General features: G+C 35.1%; 1 long non-coding RNA gene across 1 annotated transcript in view, besides 1 other annotated feature; it reads right to left on the bottom strand.

Moving 5' to 3' along the window:
- LOC105369890 (uncharacterized) overlaps window positions 1-20,825 on the bottom strand; it is a 192,148-nt gene that overhangs the window by 11,904 nt on the left and 159,419 nt on the right. The window lies entirely within an intron of this gene.
- Window positions 8,705-9,307: an enhancer, noted in NCBI's record as "NANOG-H3K27ac hESC enhancer chr12:90484856-90485458 (GRCh37/hg19 assembly coordinates)". NCBI's record gives its function as "activates a minimal SCP1, AML or CMV promoter by ChIP-STARR-seq in naive H9 embryonic stem cells {active_cell/tissue: H9 hESC(naive)}" and the evidence as "EXISTENCE:reporter gene assay evidence [ECO:0000049][PMID:30033119]".

Raw genomic sequence — 20,825 nt, 5'->3', positions numbered from 1 at the left:
ATTATTTTGCCCACATTTGCCTATTCTATTATTACTATTTCCTTATTTCCTTACTATTTAAAATAAATCCAATCAACTATTTCTGGGCTCTTCCCTATTTGGATTGTTGCCTTGAGATGCATAGATGAGCCTCCTTTTCTTATTAGGTGCCACTCAGATTGGCTTTTAACTTATTATTTTTTCTGTTTCTCTGGATCTGTTTTTATTCCCCACTGCTATGCTCCTACCTTTGTTGGCTGACTGATGGCTCCATCGGTGACTCCCTTTTCTCTTTTTCATTCCCTAAGCCAGTCACTTAGCATGTAACCACAGTTTAACCATTTCCCATTCACTGCAGCCCCATTCCAAAGCCTATTGAAAAACTTGCCCACATTGGAAAAAAAAAAAAAAACCGAAAGGAGATTCCAAACAAATCAAGTATATTAAAAGAAAAAAAAGGTGAAAATATATATTGAGTGAGGACCTTATGATGTAATCATCCAAGCATCTCTAAAACATTAGGTATTGGAGTTGGAACATGAAAATTCAGAGATAAATGACTGACGCTCATGTACATTTATAGTGTGTGTGGATATGGTGCTGTACATTGAATATTAAAGGATAGCCGATCTGCACCGAACATGTTGAAAGAGTTTTTCAATAGTAGACAATCCACTGTTTACAACTTTACCCTCTGCCTGGGAAAATCAATGTCCATTCTCAAGCAATCTGCTGCCCTGGTTATAGCAGTTCCGGTTCAAAGGAGGTTTGCATTTAGATGCTTGATCTTTCTGTCCCACTCTAGATTTTTGGAATGGTGCATTTTGTGATCATGATTTTTCTCCTGATTCCATTTCCTTATGTCATTTAAGAACATGAGGCTTTTTAGTATGACTCACTGAATAGCAAATATAGCATCTTAGTGAACTGCAGTTTTTCCTAATCAGAACATAAACTTGCTCTGTAATATCAGACTGAGACAGGAAAGAAAACACAAAGAAAAATGGCCACTGAATCACCCTGAGCTCTGAAGGAAAGGTGTCAAGGTACTTATTAAGAATCACACTATACTTCTTTAATATTCTCAATATTATCAGGTAGTTATAACACTTCAATTTTTATCCCAGATCCTAAGTGAACTGAGATACAAATTGTCTTTAATCCCAAACCACCAAAGCCTATTTTAAGTAGAAACTTCGGGGCAGATACATTCTTCAACTGTCTTTATATATCCTGGTAGAAAGGGGTACACAAGAAGAATAACCATGGATCAGCCAGGTGTAGTGGCTCACGCCTGTAATCCCAACACTGAGAGACCGAGGCAGGTGGATCACTTGAGGTCAGGAGTTCAAGACAAGCCTGGCCAACATGATGAAACCCTGTCTCTCCTAAAAATACAAAAATTAGCTGGGCACAGTAGTGCACATCTGTAATCCCAGTTACATGGGAGGCTGAGGCAAGATAATTGCTTGAACCCAGAAGACGGAGTTTTCTGGAGGTTGCAGTGAGCCGAGATCATGTCACTGCACTCCAGCCTGGGTGAGAGGGTGAGACTTCATCTCAAAAAAAAAAAAAGGAATAACCAGAGACTATGTGTAAAGAGGGCTTCCAGGAAGTCAGTAGTATCAGGAGAAGACCTAAACTGGGCAGCTATTCTAGGATATAATTCCAAGAGCCAGTCTAGTCATCTTTCTTTTTGCTCAGCTTCCTCCTCTCTCTCCATCAGCAGGAAGGATTCTAAACCCTGACCAAGCAATTCCAGTCAGGATAAGCTCTGCCTTTAGCCATGGGAGAGAAGCTCAGCTTCTCTGGGCCCTTGCCCTATGGCATTTGCCTGGTAGCAGGATTTCCAAGAATAACTACTGTCTGTGGTTTTCTCAAACCCTACTCCCTAGAGAAACCAGGGAGTGTAAACTTTTTTGGTCTCAAGGTGGTTTTAAGCATCAGCAAATGTTTGCTTTGAACTTTAGCCAGCATCTTATTTTATCCAAATGAACTCTCGAATCTCAATTTATACAAACTAAAATGCCCACCAGACAGATCAGTAAGTTCCTATTCTGTAGCATGAATAGGAACGGAAGTAATTAAGTGGAGGCATGTGACCTCTAGAAACAATCTTTGGTTGAGTGGCAGGTAGAACAAGTAGGATTTAAAGTACTATTTGGAGTCACAATTGATGTTGATTGCTAGTGAAGGGAGCTCTTCTAACACACTCTTCTTTGACTAACTCACAGAGAAATTTAAGAAGGAAAACAGAGTGTCTCTAAACATTCATTTGTAATGGAAAACAAAAAACAGAAGAAGGACACTAAGCAAAAAATTGCTAGCTTCATTCAGCCCTGCACACATAAATAATCTTTTCGAGGAAATGGCTTTTGCCTCTTGATTCAAAATTAGAATTACAGATGGAACATTTATGAATGTCTTCACAAACTTGGCTTGTAAATAGGTCATATAACTTTCATTTCTTAATTCACCAACCTAAGCCTTCACCTGTCATATTAACGGGCAGCTCACTAGAAAGTCAGCATAGGATAGAAGGAACATGCATAGATGCTGGGGCCAAACTGGCTGCTCTATATCTCTCCTCACTTACCAGTTCTATGAAGTAGGGAAGCTTAAAAAGATTAACTCCCAAGATCACACAATGACAGTTAAGATGGGATTGTCTAAGCAGTCAGAGCATGGGGTTGGGTTGATTCACTTGTGTTCGCCTTTCTTTGCCACACAGTACAGTTACGGACACATAGCCTTATAAACTGGACAGAGAAGACTATTGACAAGTCCTAATAATCTGACAGATAAGGCAAGTCTCTGCAGATACAGGACCCTAAACAGGCCACCATGAAAACTTCAGGAGAATGACTCCTCTCCCTCCAAGGCTGTCTCTTTGACAGAAATGGTGTATTTGTTTTCTGTGGCTGCTGTAACACATTACCATAAATTTGGTGTTTTAAAACAACAGAAATATATTCTCTCACAGTCCTGGAGGCCAGAAATCTGAAATCAGTTTCACTGGGCTGAAGTCAAGGTGTTGGTGGGCTTGTGCTCCTTCCAGAGGTTCTAAGGAAGACTCCGTTCCCCACTTTTCCCAGGCTCTGATGGCTGCCAGAGCTTTGGCTTGTGGCTGCTTCACTCCAATATCTGCCTCTGTTTACATCACCTTCTCCTAGTGTGTGTGTGTGTGTATTCTACATCTGATCCCCCCCTTAGAAGGATACCTGTGATGGCATTTAACACCCATCTGGATGATCCAGGATAATCTCCCCATCTTAAGATTCTTAATCACATCTTCAAGAAGCCCCTGTTTCCCCCATATAAATTAACATTCACAGGTTCCAAGGATGAGACATGAATATCTTTTGGGGGTCTATTTTCCAGCCTGACACTAATGGATTATGCACCTTCACCTTGAAGACCTAAATCAGCACCCTATTCTCTGCCCCCAGTGATCTGCACACTATCAGGGCCCAGCAGGTTTTCCTTTTAAGATTTATATAACAAGATTTTTTTTTAAAATCATACTCCCTTTCTGAAAAAGAACAAAGCTATCATTCAGCTTGTTCAGTGTAGTTTTTTGCCTCCAGAAAGCCTCAGACCCTCAAACTCAGAAGGCATAAGATCATTATTCACTTTTCCAATGATATACCTGCCTGCCTGTCCTACTACTTGCAGACACAATATTTACATCTCAGGAAAGATTACATCCGCCTGCACCATTATCTTTGTAAAATGGGAAGATTTTCCAGTGCTTCGAGAATTGTTAATTCCTCTAAGGATATCCAAGGTGACTCTCCAGCTTCTCTCTCACCAAAGCAAAGCAAGTAAAGGAGCAATGTTGTCTATGCAGTGCTGAAACAATATGCAATGCTGAAACAAATAAATAAATAATTTCCAATCTGTGCTGTGAAGTGGTGTGAAAACAGGGGAGCTGACTAAGGAGACTCCTCATCCTGTTCCTCTAAAATATTTTAAGGTAATTGTCCTCTCACTTTCCACTGCAATTTACAGAAGTTTAGTCCCCTACCTTCCTGGTCAATATTCTCTTTCCCCTAGGCTTGTCTGCTCAATTTATATTATGGTTGGCGAGTGTGATTGTTAAGGATGTGGACTCAGGCCCCAGAGGCTATGGTTTGAAGCCATGCTCCAGCCTTTTCCTAGCTGTGTAGTCATGGACAAGTAACTAAATCTCTTCTCTGTGGTTTTTTTCTAACCTGTAAAATAAAAGTGCTCATTGCCTGCTAGGAAGAATAAATACATAAATAAAGTGCTTAGTATCATGCCTGACACATGCTCTACACATGATAGACATTACTATGATTGTCCTCTTTCCCTTCCTTGTTCTTTCCACGTAGAAAGCTACCATTTATTCACCACCCCACCCCACCCCCGCCACTGCCATTCAATGAGGGCTTTGACACATAGTTTAGAGGCTTCCTTTCTACTTCAAGGACTGGAACAATGATAGATGATTTTCTCATCCTCCATGATGATCCATTTCCAAGCTCTAAATCTGCAGGGGGTGAATTTACCTTAAGATTCAAGAGCATCCATTCCCCTCATATATGCCCTGTCCAAGGCCTTAGGAACTACTCTTGTCATTTGCACTTAAAATTTATATTTTGTTTTTAATGATGTCCCTCTCCTATTAATAAAAGCTTCAGACTTCACAAAATCTGAACCTATATCTGCTCTTTGCAGTGATCTTCTGCATCTCAGCCCCATTCTCCAGTGGACACTCTGGAAATTCACAGCAGCCTAACCTATCCCTGCACTGAAAGCACCTTACCCTGAACATAACACTCTAATCTTTGCAGATTTCTTTCCAGCATTCCTGAGGAATTAGTTTTTTGGCTACAACATTTTGATCTTTGTAAATTGTTAACTTTTTAAAAAATTATAGAAACTATGTGATTATACATTTTAAACCACAGTTAATCCAAAACTCAATTATTCTCATATGTAAAATGTGCCCAACACATTTGAAAACCTTGCATTGAAGTTCCTAGCTAAGCCAAGGCACAAACCAAGCGGTCCTTATGAAACATAGATCATCAACTTCAAACTTCTCTATTTTATGTCAGGACTTTCCTTACTATTTTGATATTCAGCAGAGATACTCACAATGAAATTATTTTCAAGAGTTCTCTAACCCCCAAAACATACCTAATTTCACCAATTACTAAGAGCTTTACTTCAGAGAAATAAAAATATAATATAAATGTCTTTATCTGTGTTCTTACTTTAGGCCCCAAACTAATATTTCAGTGCCTTAACCTTCAAAAATCTAAATTAAAATGTTACTGGGTGAAATCAAAGATGATGATATTAATGAGCTCCAATGATCTGTGTGGAGTGTTATTTTTTCTATTGTTCTGTAATAATGTAAAAGTTAAGAGGGACTACACTGTAAGTGTAGCAGAATTCAGACTGCTAGATTTTAATCCCTGACCTACCCATTACCAGCTGTGAGACCATGGCCAATCTCTCCTTGCTTCAGTTTTCCCATCTGTAAAGGAGGGAAACTGCAGTATCTACACAATAGGGTTGTTTTGAGGGTTAAATAAGTTAAAATGTGGAATAGTAAGCACTCAGTAAACGTTAGCTATTGTTATTACCAAATAACACTTCAAATAAGCAGGCCATCTGTTGGAGATTAGAAATATTTCATCATACTAAAAATTTGTCTAGGTTTTTAGTATGATCATATTTTTATATAAGGTTTTACCTTCAAAGTAGACTAGACCAGGATTCACTTCTGAAACAAAAAGTTATCTGAGAAGGACTTTACAATCTTGATCTACAAACTTTAGTAATAATCTAAGGAATGAGTTTCAGATAAATTGTCTTTCAATTATGCATGTACATGTAAGATATAAACCAGAAACTTCAAAGACTAAGGGCATATACAAGACTCTGGTTCTTACCTTGGAAGAATATTCTTGGGAGGAGTAATTCCCTGTTCGAATGTCTATTAAATACAACACAGTGATATAATTAGACTATAAAATAATAGTAATAATAACAAATGCACACTTTCATTAGCTTACAATCTGGTAAGAGAGAACAACTAAATATACCTTTATAATACTGTGAAAACTACTATGATAGATTAATATATAGGGTTTTAGAGTACTTAAGCTTAAGGGTTCACTCAATTGTAAATAGCTCATCCTCTACAAGACCATGCTGGCCATATTAAACAGTTTAGCCATTTGTCTTTATATAAATATATATATTAAATATTTTTATATATAATATATATTTTATATATAACACATATTTTATATATAATATATATTTTACCTAAAATATATAGTTTATATATTATATATTTTACCTATAATATATATTTTATATAATATATATTATACCTATAATATATATTTTATATATTATATACTTTATATATAATATATTATGTACTTTATATATAATATATCTTATAAAATATACAATATATTATATATAATATATATTATATAATATATTATATATATTATATATAATATATAAAATACATACTATATAATATATATTTTATATATAATACATATAATATATAAGATATATATTTTATATATATAATATATATCTTATATAATATTAAACAGTTTAGCCATTTGTCTTTATATATAATATATATAAATTATATATATTATATATATAAATGTATATATTTATATATATAAATTATATATATTAATGTATATATTTATATATATAAATTATATATATTATATGTAAATGTATATCTTTATATATAAATTATATATTATATATAAATGTATACATATATATTACATATAATTTATATATAATATATAAATTATATATATATTTCTATATATAATTTATATATATCATTTCTATATATAATTTATATATATAATATATATTATTTAAATTATATTATATATAACAATATATATAATAATATAATATATATAAATTATATAATATATATAAATATATAAAATAATATATACAAATTATATATTTTATATATATAATTATATATATACAAATTAATATATAAATTATATATATTTATATATAATTTTTATATATATTTATATACAAATATATATAATTATATATATATTTAATATACATAAATATATATAAATTATATATATATTTAATATAATTATATAAATTATATACATAATTTATAAATATATATAAATTAGATATATCTAATTTATATAAATATATGAATTATATATATCTAATTTATATATATGAATTATATATATCTAATTTATATATATGAAGTATATATATAATTTATATAAATATGTATATTATATATATAATTTACATAAACATGTAAATTATATATAATTTACATAAACATGTAAATTATATATATAATTTACATAAACATGTAAATTATATATATAATTTACATAAACATGTAAATTATATATATAATTTACATAAATATGTAAATTATATATATATAATTTCTATAAATATATAAATTATATATATAAAAAGACAAATGGCTAAACTGTTTAATATTATATGTATTAAATATTATATACATATATTATATACATATTATATATAAAATTTATATTTATATTATATATAATATAAATATATATTATATATACATATTATATATGTTATGTATTATATATAACATGCATATATAATATATAATTATATATATAAGATTATATTACATATTATATAAATAATTATATACAATTATATATTTATATAATTGTATATAATATAAATATATATTATAAATATATATTTATATTATATATTAATATTATATATTTATATTATATATTAATATTATATATATTATATATGATATATAATATTTATTATATATCATATATAATATATAATCTATCATCTATCATATATCATATATATGATATATATCATATATAACATATATGATATATAATATAATATATGTTATATATAATATATTTATATATAAAGACAAATGGCTAAACAGTTTAATATTTTATATATAATATATACTATATATTATATATTTATATAGTTTTTATATATTATATACAACATATATAATATATAATGTATATTTTATATATTATATACAACATATATAACATATAATATATATTTTATATATAATATATATTTAAAGACAAACGGCTAAACTGTTTATTATATATAATTGTAATATATATTATATAATAATTATATATTTTTATATATTACATATATTATTATATAATAATTATATATTTTTATATATTATATATATTATTATATCATGTATAAATTATAATATATATATTTTTGAAACAGGGTCTCACGCTGTTGCCCAGGCTAGAGTGTGCTGGTGCCTTCCCAGCTCACTGCAGCCTTGACTTCCTGGGCTCAGGCAGTCCTCCCACCTATGCCTCCTGAGTAACTGAGAGCACAGGCCATTTTCATAATTACCTTCATTTTAGACTTAGGTTACTAGTCAGCTTAATTTATGCCATCACTACGTGAAGCCATGAAAATGTGTTATATTCTATTCTATTCCTCAGATGAAATTTTGGTGTCAAAAATGTTGACATTACGCATTCATTTGCTCCTTTAAAGAGGTTAAATACAAAGCCATTCTCTTTTACTTAATACAGGTACATATCCTAGAGTCTCCTTAGACAGGAAATAATTAAGCCCACTTGTCATCCTTACCAAATTAGTGCCCAGGAAAAGAAGAAATCCCAGGAGAGGATTAGTGCGAATTTAAATCAGATATACAGCTAATCCAGCACCCAAGCTAGGGTTTGCATTTCAATCAATCAAAGCACAGGGACTTGCATTTTGACACCAAATGCAGAAAGTCAGAGAGCTATGGTTAGGTCTTGGAAGGCTGCTGATATGGAAATGTCTCCTGTGAGTCATTCCACTCTGTGGTTTAAAGAAATTGAGGACTTTTCCCAAGGTGCTAAAGGATGTGGAAGTCATTCTCCCACCCACTGGGTGTGGGTGCAATCACCGATGCATCACTGGGTGTGGCTGGGTTATGATGCAACATAAAGTCCTAGCAGTGCAGTTGCTTGGAGTGGGCAAAATTCAGCCTCACTTCAGGATAACAGCATTCAGTAGTGGCTTTCTCCACCTCCCAAGAGCAGAAATAAAAGAGATTGTTAAAACGCAGAAAGCGGGAATGAACAATTTTCTCCCCCTTTTGTTTAAGGAGGGGTCTAGAAGACAGATGTAAGTGAAATGAATTATAAGTCTCAACCTCCTTCACTCTTATCTGGAGTGAATAGACTGCTTTGTCATACAGCTGCCTAAGGCTAATCCTCCACACTCCCACAATCTTCTCAGTCTACTGCCTGAGTACCTTTGAAGCCAGGATTTAAAATCCTATAAATAGAAACAGGATTACTGGTTGCAGACTGCTGAAAAACTTTAAATGCTTCCTGGAAAGTGCAAGGAAGGATGTACAATGGCATGAGAAGAGGTGAATGGGGAGGAGAAATGTAAATTTTTAAGAGAAATAGTAAACTCTAACTTAACACAGTATTTCAATAAATCTGACTTTTCTTTTTGTGACCCTAAGAGATTTTTTTGATTTTCATAATTAGAAATTGCATCCAGGCAAGGCGTAGTGGCTCACGCTTGTAATCTCAGCACTTTGGGAAGCCAAGTTGGGAGGATTGCTTGAGGCCAGCAGTTTAAGACCAGCCTGGACAACAGAGTGAGGCCCTGTCTCTATGAAAAAAAAAAAAAAAACACGACATATTTTAGTTAGCTAGGTATGGTGACACGCACATCAAGTTACAGTTACTCAGGAAGCTGAGGTGGGTAGATCACTGGAGCCCAGGAGTTTGAGGCTGCAGTACGCTATGATTTTACCACTGCACTCCAGCCTGGGTGACAGGGTGAGACTGCTTGTCAAAAGAAAGGAAAGAAAGGGAAGGGTGGGGGGGGGAGAGAGAGAGAGAGAGGGAGAGAGAGAGAGAGGAAGAAAGAGAAAGAAAGAAATTAAAAGGAAGGAAGAGAAAGAAAGAAAGAAAGAAAGAAAGAAAGAAAGAAAGAAAGAAAGAAAGAAAGAAAGAAAGAAAGAAAGAAAAGAAAGAAAGGGAAGGAAGGAAGGAAGAGAAAGAAAGGAAGGAAGGAAGGAAGGAAGGAAGGAAGGAAGGAAGGGAAAAGAAAAAAAAAGAAAACAAAAAGAAAGAGAGGAAAAGAGAAGAGAAAAGAGGCCGGGTGCAGTGGCTCACGCCTGTAATCCCAGCACTTTGGGAGGCCGAGGCAGGTGGATCATGTGGTCAGGAGATCGAGACCATCCTGGCTAACACGATGAAACCCCGTCTCTACTAAAAATACCAAAAATTAACCGGGCGTGGGGGCAGGCACCTGTAGTCCCAGCTACTGGGGAGGCTGAGGCAGGAGAATGGCATGAACCTGGGAGGTGTAGTTTGCAGTGAGTGGAGATCCCACGACTGCACTGCAGCCTGGGCAACAGAGAGAGACTCCATCCCAAAAAAATAAAAATAAAAATAAAAGAGAGAGAGACAGAAAGAAAAGAAATTGCATCCAGTTACCTTGAGTTTTTACTTAGAAAATGTCCAATTGTCTTCCACCTATTGAAATTCACCTCTTCTATAATCCCCACATCACTGCTAAGGCTGGCTTAAGATATCCATCCACAAGAAATAGGAACACTTTTACGCTGTTGGTGGGAGTGTAAATTAGTTCCACCATTGTGAAAGACACTGCGGCAATTCCTTAAGGATCTAGAACCAGAAATACCCTTTGACCCAGCAATCCCATTACTGGGTATATACCCAAAGGATTATAAATCATTCTACCATAAAGACACATGCACACATATATTTATCAGAGCACTATTTACAATACCAAAGACTTGGAACCAACCCAAATGCCCATCAATGATAGACTGGATAAAGAAAATGTGGCACATACACACCATAGAATACTATGCAGCTGTAAAAAAGAATGGGTTCATGTCCTTTGCAGGGACATGGATTAAGCTGGAAACCATCGTTCTCAGCGAACTAACACAGGAACAGAAAATCATACACCACATGTTCTCACTCATAAGTGGGAGCTGACCAGTGAGAATACATGGACACAGAGATGGGAACATCACACACCGGGGCCTGTCAGGGGTTGAGGGGCAAGGGGAGGGGGAGCTTTAGTACAAATACCTAATGCATGTGGGGCTTAAAACCTAGATGACGGGTTGATAAGTGCAGCAAACCACCATGGCACACATATGCCCATGTAACAAACCTGTATGTTCTGCACGTGTATCCCAGAACTTAAAGTAAAATTTAAAAACAAAAGATATCCATCCACAAATTCTACTAGCTCATTCTTGCCTGGGTCCTCTTGTCGGCAGCGCTAGTCTGTCTGCAGATGCACCATAGATAGGGGTACCATTGCCTTAGAGTCAGGGTCCAGCAAAGTACCATCTCCTGTACAGGTCTCAGGCAGACATGTTGGTTGAACAACTAAGCCTTATATACACTTTTTATAAATCAAGGCCCTCTAGGTGAGCACAGAGTAAGGGCTAATAATTACATTTGAGAATTGATTTGGAATTGATAATGAATAAGACTTTTATGGGTACCTGAGGTCTCAGCCTGTTCACAAATATTAATTTTCATACGTTTTCCATTACTTTAGGATGGTACTGCCTCATCCTGATGAATTCACGTGTGACCGTATTATTTTTTTGGGCTAAGAAATGGATGTTAAGTGTCATTTTCAAGCAGAAGCTTGAAGAGATCATGGTGCGCCTTGCCACATGCGCTTTTGCCTCTCCCATACTAAGCAGCAGCATTCTGGATCATGGCTGAATCAGCAAGGACGGAAAACAATGATGTAAGGACAGAGAGCACAGTGAACTATCTGTGGAAAGCAAGAAACCATTTCAGTTTTAAGTGAACAATATCTGAGGGTTGTATGTTTGCAGCATAACCTAACCTCTCTCAAGGAGTACATACCATAAAATGCTTCTTGGGTTCACTAAGTTGTTGAGTATCATGGTCTTCCCTTTTTTTTTTCTGTTTTCTTATGTCCTGCAACTGTGTAAGTCTTCCACTTTTAAACACATCTTTTAAGGAGGCTGGCTGTCATTGAATGTCTTCAGAGCAATTTTATACATCTTAAAATCAGTCAAGGGAAATGAAAGTTAAGTCTAAATCTAATGAAATCCCGGCAGAGCACGAATAGAACTCAAAGCTCCACCTGTCCTCTAGCTTCTATTGGATAAATATTTTCATAGGAAAAAGGTTTGCAGACAAAGCTAAGCACATTCTTCACTCCAATTTTTCACTAGGGCAAAAGCAAATTTTTATTACACACCAAGCATTGGAAAATAAATTTATTCTTAGTTCACCCTCACTAGCCTAAATAGTACTATTAAACTGATAAATAAGCACAAGTACATTTGAAAATAGAAAAGGTAAACAGGTAGAGGTTTCCAGCTCTACTTTAATGAGATTATATACCACAAAGAATTTAATACTACAAGGCATGCTAAGATGACAACATCCTAACATCTAACAACTCTTCTTTTAATCCCAATGGGATTATTGCTGAAATAATTTCCCTTGTCATTAATTGAAAGATTTTTACTCCTTTGGAATTTTTCTCCTGGGTCTATTTTATTTTAAAATTCATCATATTGCAATTTCCTTCTCAAGGTTTTAATAGAGTTAAACAAAACGTCATTTGTTCATTTGCCAGGTATAAATTAAAATTTGAGACTGGTAAACGACAAAAGTATTTCTCCAGAAACAAAAGATTAACTCCAAAAGCCTTTTAAAAGTTGCGTAACTTCTTGATAAACACTATTCTGACAGGTGTGAAATTATATCTCTTTGTGGTTTTAATTTGCATTTCACTAATGATTAGCAATGTTGAACATCTTTTTATATATCAGTTGATGAAAGATAACAAATGTTGGCAAAGATGTGCAGAAAAGGGAATTGTTGTACACTGTTGGTGGGAATGTAAATTAGCACAGCTATTATGGAAAACTGAATGGGCATTCCTCAAGAAACTGAAAATGGAATTATCATGTGATCCAGCAATTCCGCTTCTGGGTATTTATTCAAAAGATTTCAAATCAGTTTGTTGAAGAGACATCTGCATTCTCATGTTCATTGCAGCACTAATCACAATGGCCAAACTATGGAATCAACCTAAGTGTTTATCAATGAAGGAATGGATCAAGAAAATGTGTACTATTCAACCTTAAAAAAGGAAAATTCTGTCATTCACAGCAACATGGATGGAACTGGAGAACATTATCCTAAGTGAAATAAGCCAGGCACAGAAAGACAAAGAGACATGTTCTCACTTATATGTGGAATCTAAAACAATCCACATCACAAGCAGAAAATACAATGGGGGTTACAGAGGCCAAGGATGGGGGTCAAAGGGCACAAAATCTCAGGCAGGAAAGATAATAGATTTTTTTTTCAGTTCTATGCTAATAATAGAGTATTACACACTTAAAAATTGCTAAGAGAATAAATTTCAAATGTTCTCCCCACTAAAAGTATTAAGTATTTGAGGTGATGAATATGTTAATTCATTTGATTAATTATATTTTACATTGTATCCATAAATCATAACCACTTTTATTTCATAAATTTATACAATTATACATTGGCAATTTACAATTTTAAAAAATTATTTTAAAAGTTGCATGACTTAACTCCATAGCACTTAGACTTTATTCAGTATAGAAAACTAAGAGTAACAACCCTTTATCTCATCAAGGCCTCCCTAGCTATTGGACCAAGTGTGAAACCTAGTACTTTCAGCATAGCAGAACTTTCTGTCTACTGCTTAGAAATGCTCTTAGAAATGCTCAAAGAAAGGTAAAGACTGGAGACTTAGTGACTCAGACTAGAACCAGCAATTTTGTAACAGAAAAAAAAAATAAATTGAAGTCTGTGTCATTCTGTATGTCTCATGCACACCAGTTTGCTAGTCTCTGTGAAGCATATCAGTCAAACATTTTCATAATAATAGGGACTTTTCTGTGAGTCTGAAGGCAACCAGCAAGATATTCCATTCATATTTTCTTCAGCTAAGATTCCTAGAAAACGATGCAATCATTATTCTTAGCATCCTACAACTTCTTTCCATATTTTTCAATTTTTGAATGCCTGGCACCTATGTGATAGACACTTTAGTAGTCTTCAAGAATATCATGGTGAGTAGAATTTACATTAGCCCTGTCCTGCAGCAGCACATACTGGAGTGAGAAAGACAACTAAACCAGCAACAGTACAAAGGAGGACAGTGGAGAGTGTTTCAGGGTGAAAAGAACATGCAGCACAAGCACCTTCTCTACTCTAATCCAAGAATGAGAGCAGAGGGTCATGCAAGAAAATTTCCAATGTATCACCACCAGACATGAAATTAGTCATGCAAAAACATGCAAGGCTATCTCAGGGTGTTGGAAGCTGGAGAAAGTAACTCTGAGCACAAAATTATGATCAGAATCTTTAGAAAATAAACGTGGGCTTTCACTGTGCAAAAGTGGACAGTCCTGTCACAGTTTTGGCTCCATAGCTCTAAAAACACAAGAAATAAAGCCAAGGAATGGAGAGAAGCAAGCAGATGACCATCAGGTCAGAAAGGAAAGGATCGCAAATAATTGCAGAAGCCACACAGAAGTACACTATCCTAGGAGTCAGGCGACTCAGCCAAGCTGCTAGTCCCTGTGATCAGCTTTCCAGCTGTGTTCACTCATTCAACTGTCAGTACAAAGCTGTAAGGAAAATATCATATTACCCCATCTTAAAGATGAGTAAAAATGAAGCTTAGATAGGATAAGTAAGCTAACTCTTTCTGCCTTCTAATCCTGAGTTTTAAACCACTAGACTGCTACCCCAATTAGAATTGTCCATTAGAATTATACAACAAGGTTTTAAAAAATCTCAATGGACAGGACAACCCCAGGACAATTAAATCAAGTTCTCTGCAGTAAGCTCAGACATGAGCATTTTAAAAAGCTTTTCAGGTGACTCTAATGTGTAGATGAAATTGCGACCCACTATGGCCTCTGCTACCAGTCACTAGATGACTTTAAAACATACACATAATGTTTCCCCTGAGGCCCTTATCAGTAAATCAGAGAGCTAAAACTAGATGACTCTTCAGGTCCCTTCCAGGTCGAACCTTCCAAAGAACTGACCAGGAATTAGAAGTCACTAAAATGAACGCTTCCCAAAGATTTGAAAATAAGTAAGGAAATGTATGGCCTAAATAGGTCATTAATTACATAGATCTCATTTTGTCAATAGTTATAATCTTGAGGTATATTTATGAATCATCAAAAGCTATGCCTTCCAACATCATAATAAGTCCATTATTGGAATCCAGTAAGTGAGTAAGGTAATCACTCCAGTGTTATCTTTTGTGATGAATTAGAGAAGATGGGAAGAAATGAAAATTAGTTCCAATTAGTGATCTTAAATGCTACATAAGGCATTGCAGTAAAAACTACGTAAAATTATAATGCTCGTTATTTTTAGAATTACAACGTAACCTATATGCTTTTTCTTCCCAGAAGGGCTATTTAACATAGAGTTTCAGAAAGCCGTTAAATTGATGCAGCTACGAAATGGAGTTGGATGTTTGAGGAGACAGAACTAGAAGCTGGGACCTCATAATAAGAAGGTGTCTGCTAAGACCAACAGAACATTTTCCAGATTTAATGGAATGGTCCAAAGAAGAACTGAATGGAAAAGAAGAGCAGAAGAATTAATGTTAAGTGAGTCAGAAATGCACATGGATTTATATTTTGAAAATCAATAAATTAATGTTACCAGGGGAACGGAGTGAGCCAAGAAGAGAGAATTGAAAGAAAGTCATTTCTTGTTTTAAGAACTGAAGAAGAGACCGGACAAACTAAGAAGAATGCAGCAATTCATGCAATTTTTAAGTTTTCATATTTATGGCAAGCTGGAAAGTCGTGTTGTGGTGCCATATTCTATTGCATCAGAATAGCGGCAGAAATATTCATAAAGAAATGCAGGCTCCTTTAATCCTAATAAAACAACAATTGGTCTTTAGGCATAATCAAATACAATCTTGCCAGTTAAAAAATAGCCACAACTGTTCATGAGGTCTAGTCGTACAAAATGGGTTAAAAGGTAAACTGGAATTTGGAACACTTGTGCCTTAGTCATGGGCATTAATGCTGAGTCACTAATAAACAGAATCTGGTGCTTTGAATGGTTCCCATGAATGTTGCTTTCTCAGCCATAAATTGGACATTGAAAAGCATTAAGGAGTCAGCCAACTTTCCTCAATACCTCACCAAGTTTGTAGATTTTTATATTCCTCTTGCCTCCTACACAATAGTATACATATACAAAAATGGTGCATTCTGGCATAGAGCTTAGCTTATCCCACTTCAGATCGACTTCATGACTCAACACAGTGATAACTGTCTATTGACATTTTCACCAAGCCTTCAAGGTAGCAAGTGCATAGAAGAGGCATGGGATGGCCGGGCGCAATGGCTCACGCCTGTAATCCCAACACTTTGGGAGGCCGAGGCAGGTGGATCACAAGGTCAGGAGATCAAGACCATCCTGGCTAACACAGCGAAACCCTGTCTCTACTAAAAATACAAAAAATTAGCCTGGCGTGGTAGCAGGAGCCTATAGTCCCAGCTACTCGGGAGGCTGAGGCAGGAGAATGGTGTGAACCCGGGAGGCGGAACTTGGAGTGAGCCGAGATCGCGCCACTGCACTCTAGCCTGGGCTACGGAGTAAGACTCCATCAAAAAAAAAAAAAAAAAAAGAAGAGGCATGGGATATAAATTATATAAATTAAGTCATTAAAGTGAAAGAATAGAGTGTAATAAAGAAAGATAGGAAAAGAAGAACAGGAATGAAAGGGAAAAGTAAAAAGGACATAGAAATAAAAGGAAGGATGTGATTTGTTTTTTAAAAAAATGGGAGGTGATGTTAGTGAAACACAAGCAGCACTGAACTACATTTGGTAAGAATTTAGTTCAATTAAACAAATATTTAAGTACCAGCAAGGTGTCAGTCACTGTCTGAAGAACTAGGGATATAACGACGTATAGGATCAGGTCCATTATTTAAGGAACTTACAGCTGTTTGGTGCAAGCAGACACTTGTATGTGCATTCAAATATTCAATTGGCAAACTATTTTTTTAGTGACTACTATGTACCACGCACATCTTAGGGGCGTAGCAAACAAAAATCAATGTAGCATCATAAGTTCTATGCTAGCAGTGAGAATAAAATACCATGACAGCACAGAGAAGAGAGTTATGGCTGCCATGATGGGATCATGGAACGCTTCAGCAACTGTTAACATCAGAGGCCTGGCTACTAGTACTGCATCTCACACTTACCAGCTGTGTGACTTTGGACAAGTTTCAAATCACCATCACCCACTGCAATATTGTTAGAAGATGCAGATTTTGTTAATCCTATGAGAATTCTAATAATAGTGCATGCACATCCAAATTCATAGATTAAAACCATTGGAGAAGCAATCCTTTTTACTCCTCTACCCACAAGGGTGACTCTGTAATATTTTTCAAATATAAGACAGTCTACAATTGAGCAACCACTCTATGTAGATCACAGTTTTAGATAACCAGGGTTGAGGACCTAGGGTACATGTAAAGGAAATAGAATACCTGCTCTCTGCCCATCAACCACAGTGATGACAAGCCAATAAACATAATTATGCTGGACATTACTTAATGGGCACTCCATAGCTATTCACTCCCACAACTGTTTATGGTACATTCAAGTGAGTGAATACAAATTTTGCTATTTTGTAGAGGGATAGAGTGTTGAAACTGCTTAAATATTATCTAATCTAACTCCTTCAAACTGAGAGAAAAAGAAGTTGAATGATATTCCCAAATCATAGAACTAGCTAATAAAGTATCTAACATTAATGGCTACTCAACTCAGGCAAGTAGATGATCAGGTTTTGACAGGGAGTTAAAAAGAAAAAGATGATATTCTGCTCCTATGAAAATAGTATGATGATATAGCATTAAGGGAAAGTGTCTCTTGGGACAAAAGTAGGTGATGAGAAATCTAATTACACACACGCACACACACACACATTAGCTTTCAACACTGATAACCCACCTGCTTCTTAAAAATTTTAAAGAAAATATTGAGTGCAAGAGAAGTAGCTCTCAAACTTACACGTTTTCATTTAACAGATAGTTGACTTTTCTACCTTTACAGGAAGGCAACACAATTTCTTCTCCATGCCTGACATGTTACCAGTTCATGACTAAATAATGAATAAATAGCTGCAGACAAGTAATTCTCAAGGGGGCCTCAAGGTACATCTTAGATGTTTGTGTTAATAAGTCTAGTTTCAAAGTAGAACTGGCAATCTCAAAAGAAATCGTTCTGAGCAATTCAAATCTCCAGCCATTGCAACAGGCAGCTCTTCACAAGTGTTTTGTTAATTCTAACCATGATCATATAATGCAAAATGGGATATGGGCATAACAATCTATTTTGGTTGAACATTTCAAAGAATGGCCAAATGTGGCTCATGATGCTGTATTTTACCTACAAAAATTCAAACTAATTATTGCCTCTAATCACACCAGCTCTTCAGCAAAACTAATATTAGAAAACTCTTCATCAGTGTTCCATCTTTCCTGTTTTGCCACATATTTGCAACTTTTCATCAGAAGACCTTTGCTTATTCTATATGTGATGGCAGAAGGGAGAATCAAAGGGTAGATGAGAAGCCTGTAATACCCACTGGGATTCAACTCTTGTTTATGCAAAGCTTGCAATAACTCACCTGTTGGTTAATATAGTTGTTCATTTCTCCCATCATGTGATATTCAAATATGGTGTTTGTGTGTGTGTGTGTGTGTGTGCGTGTGTGTGTGTGTCTGTGTGTTGGGAACTGAAGGCGAGAAGAAGAAAGACAAGTGGTGATGGTAGAATTTAAAAGTAGAATCCTAAAAGGTATGTCTTAAATAATAAAAGCGATTTATATAAAAGTGATAAAGCTTGGTCATGTCTCACCCATTTATAAATGAGTTGAAAGGAGTCCAGAAACCTCAGTGACTTTCCCGGCACAAAATGGACAAATGAACTGTAAGAATTAATGTTTATTATCTCCAGTATTATGAATCACCCTTATACATAATGACTTATCAATTTGTACTTAATTGGCAGCTTTACAGATGTTTTGGATTTACTTTGGCAAATGCTTCATTATTCTAACTACATGATTAGCTCCTACCAGTCACAGTCGATTTGCCCTGTTTTCGCTATTTTTTCTACATGAAGTTTGGGCTTCTAATAAACCCATTGCCCAAGTGGTGAACATAGTACCCAACAGGTAGTTTTTCAACCCTTTCCCTACTCCTTCCCTCCCTCTTTTGGAATTCCCAGCGTTTATTGTTCCCATCTCTGTGTCCCTGTGTACCCATTGTTTGGCTCTCACTTACATGTGAGAACATGTGGTATTTGGATTTCTGTTTCTACACTAATTCACTTAGGATTATAGCCTCCAGCTGCATCTATGTTGCTGCTACAAAGGACATGATCTCATTCTTTGTATGCCTGTGTGATATTCCATGGTGTATATGCACCACATTTTCTTTATCTGATCCACCATTCATGGGGATCTAGTATCAGAGATTATAATGGAAATCTACTTTCTTGACAGATAACAGTTCTGATTCACACCTATTTTATCAGAACATACCATCAGAAAATTCTTCACCTCTCTTCTCAAATGAAATTCTAAAATATTCTACATTTCTGAACTTGCCCTTCTCATTTTTTCTCAGCCTTAAGGATTTTTATTTTGAATACCATAAAGCAGCATTGGACTAAGAGTGAGAAAACATCAGTTAAGTCTTGCTTCTATCTATCTTGGACACTGGAGAAATCTCAGTAAGCCAGTAAGCATGTGCCTTATTCAAGGACTGATGGATGAATTAGCAACTGGGTGGATGAATGTCACCATTTACTCATCCACTTCAGATGGATCGCTGGTCTTTGGAAACTTGATTCCTTCAGGTTTGTAGTCTGTTATCTTAAATTTGTTATAATCTGTTATAATCTGTTATCTTAAAATTAAGAGAAATATTGGGTACTTATACTGTGCCAGGTATTTAAAAGGTATTTTAAATATATAGAGCCGTAAATATACAGATAATTATATGGTTATAATTGAGTCATTAAAACAATTACCATTAACCTCATTTTACATCAGAGGAAAACTGAAATTCATGAATACTTTGTAACTGGCCCAAAGTCACATAGTGGGAAAGTGGCAGAACTTATTTACAATCCCAGTTCTCTGGGATTGAATGCTCTGACCTCTTTGTCACATGACTTCTCATTGTCCTTCTCGTTCTTTATCTCTGTGTGAACTCTGTGCCGCCAATCGGTGCTTGCTTTAAGGTAAAGAATGCATTAAATCTTAGTAGCTTCAAATGCTTTGCAGTGTCTTTAAAGAAAGCATGCAGAATTCAGAAGAGGTAGGGACTATTTTTTATAATTAACAAGCCAAAGGAATAGTTGTGTTACCGAGGACACAGATAGGTATCTCAATTAAAAAGAAAAATTATAGTCCTTCTAAATGTTCATTCACAGTAGACACTTTGGAATGTCTTGCTGAATGGCATTTAAAACTCTGCATAGAGTTATAAATCATGCTTCAAGAGACTTTCCTTCTATCTCTCTGATTCACTGGACTTTCAATTATTCTAATAATCTGACATATATCTGGATTTATAAGTAATCTCTTAAGAGAGTCCTGCAACCATTTGCTATTCCCTGAAGCTTTCCATTTCTGGCTGCTGAAA

This window comes from Homo sapiens, chromosome 12 (assembly GCF_000001405.40).
Source record: "Homo sapiens chromosome 12, GRCh38.p14 Primary Assembly".
NCBI lineage: Eukaryota > Metazoa > Chordata > Mammalia > Primates > Hominidae > Homo > Homo sapiens.
The sequence above is the reverse complement of the archived record's forward strand: the minus strand, read 5'-3'. Positions and strand labels throughout refer to the sequence as shown.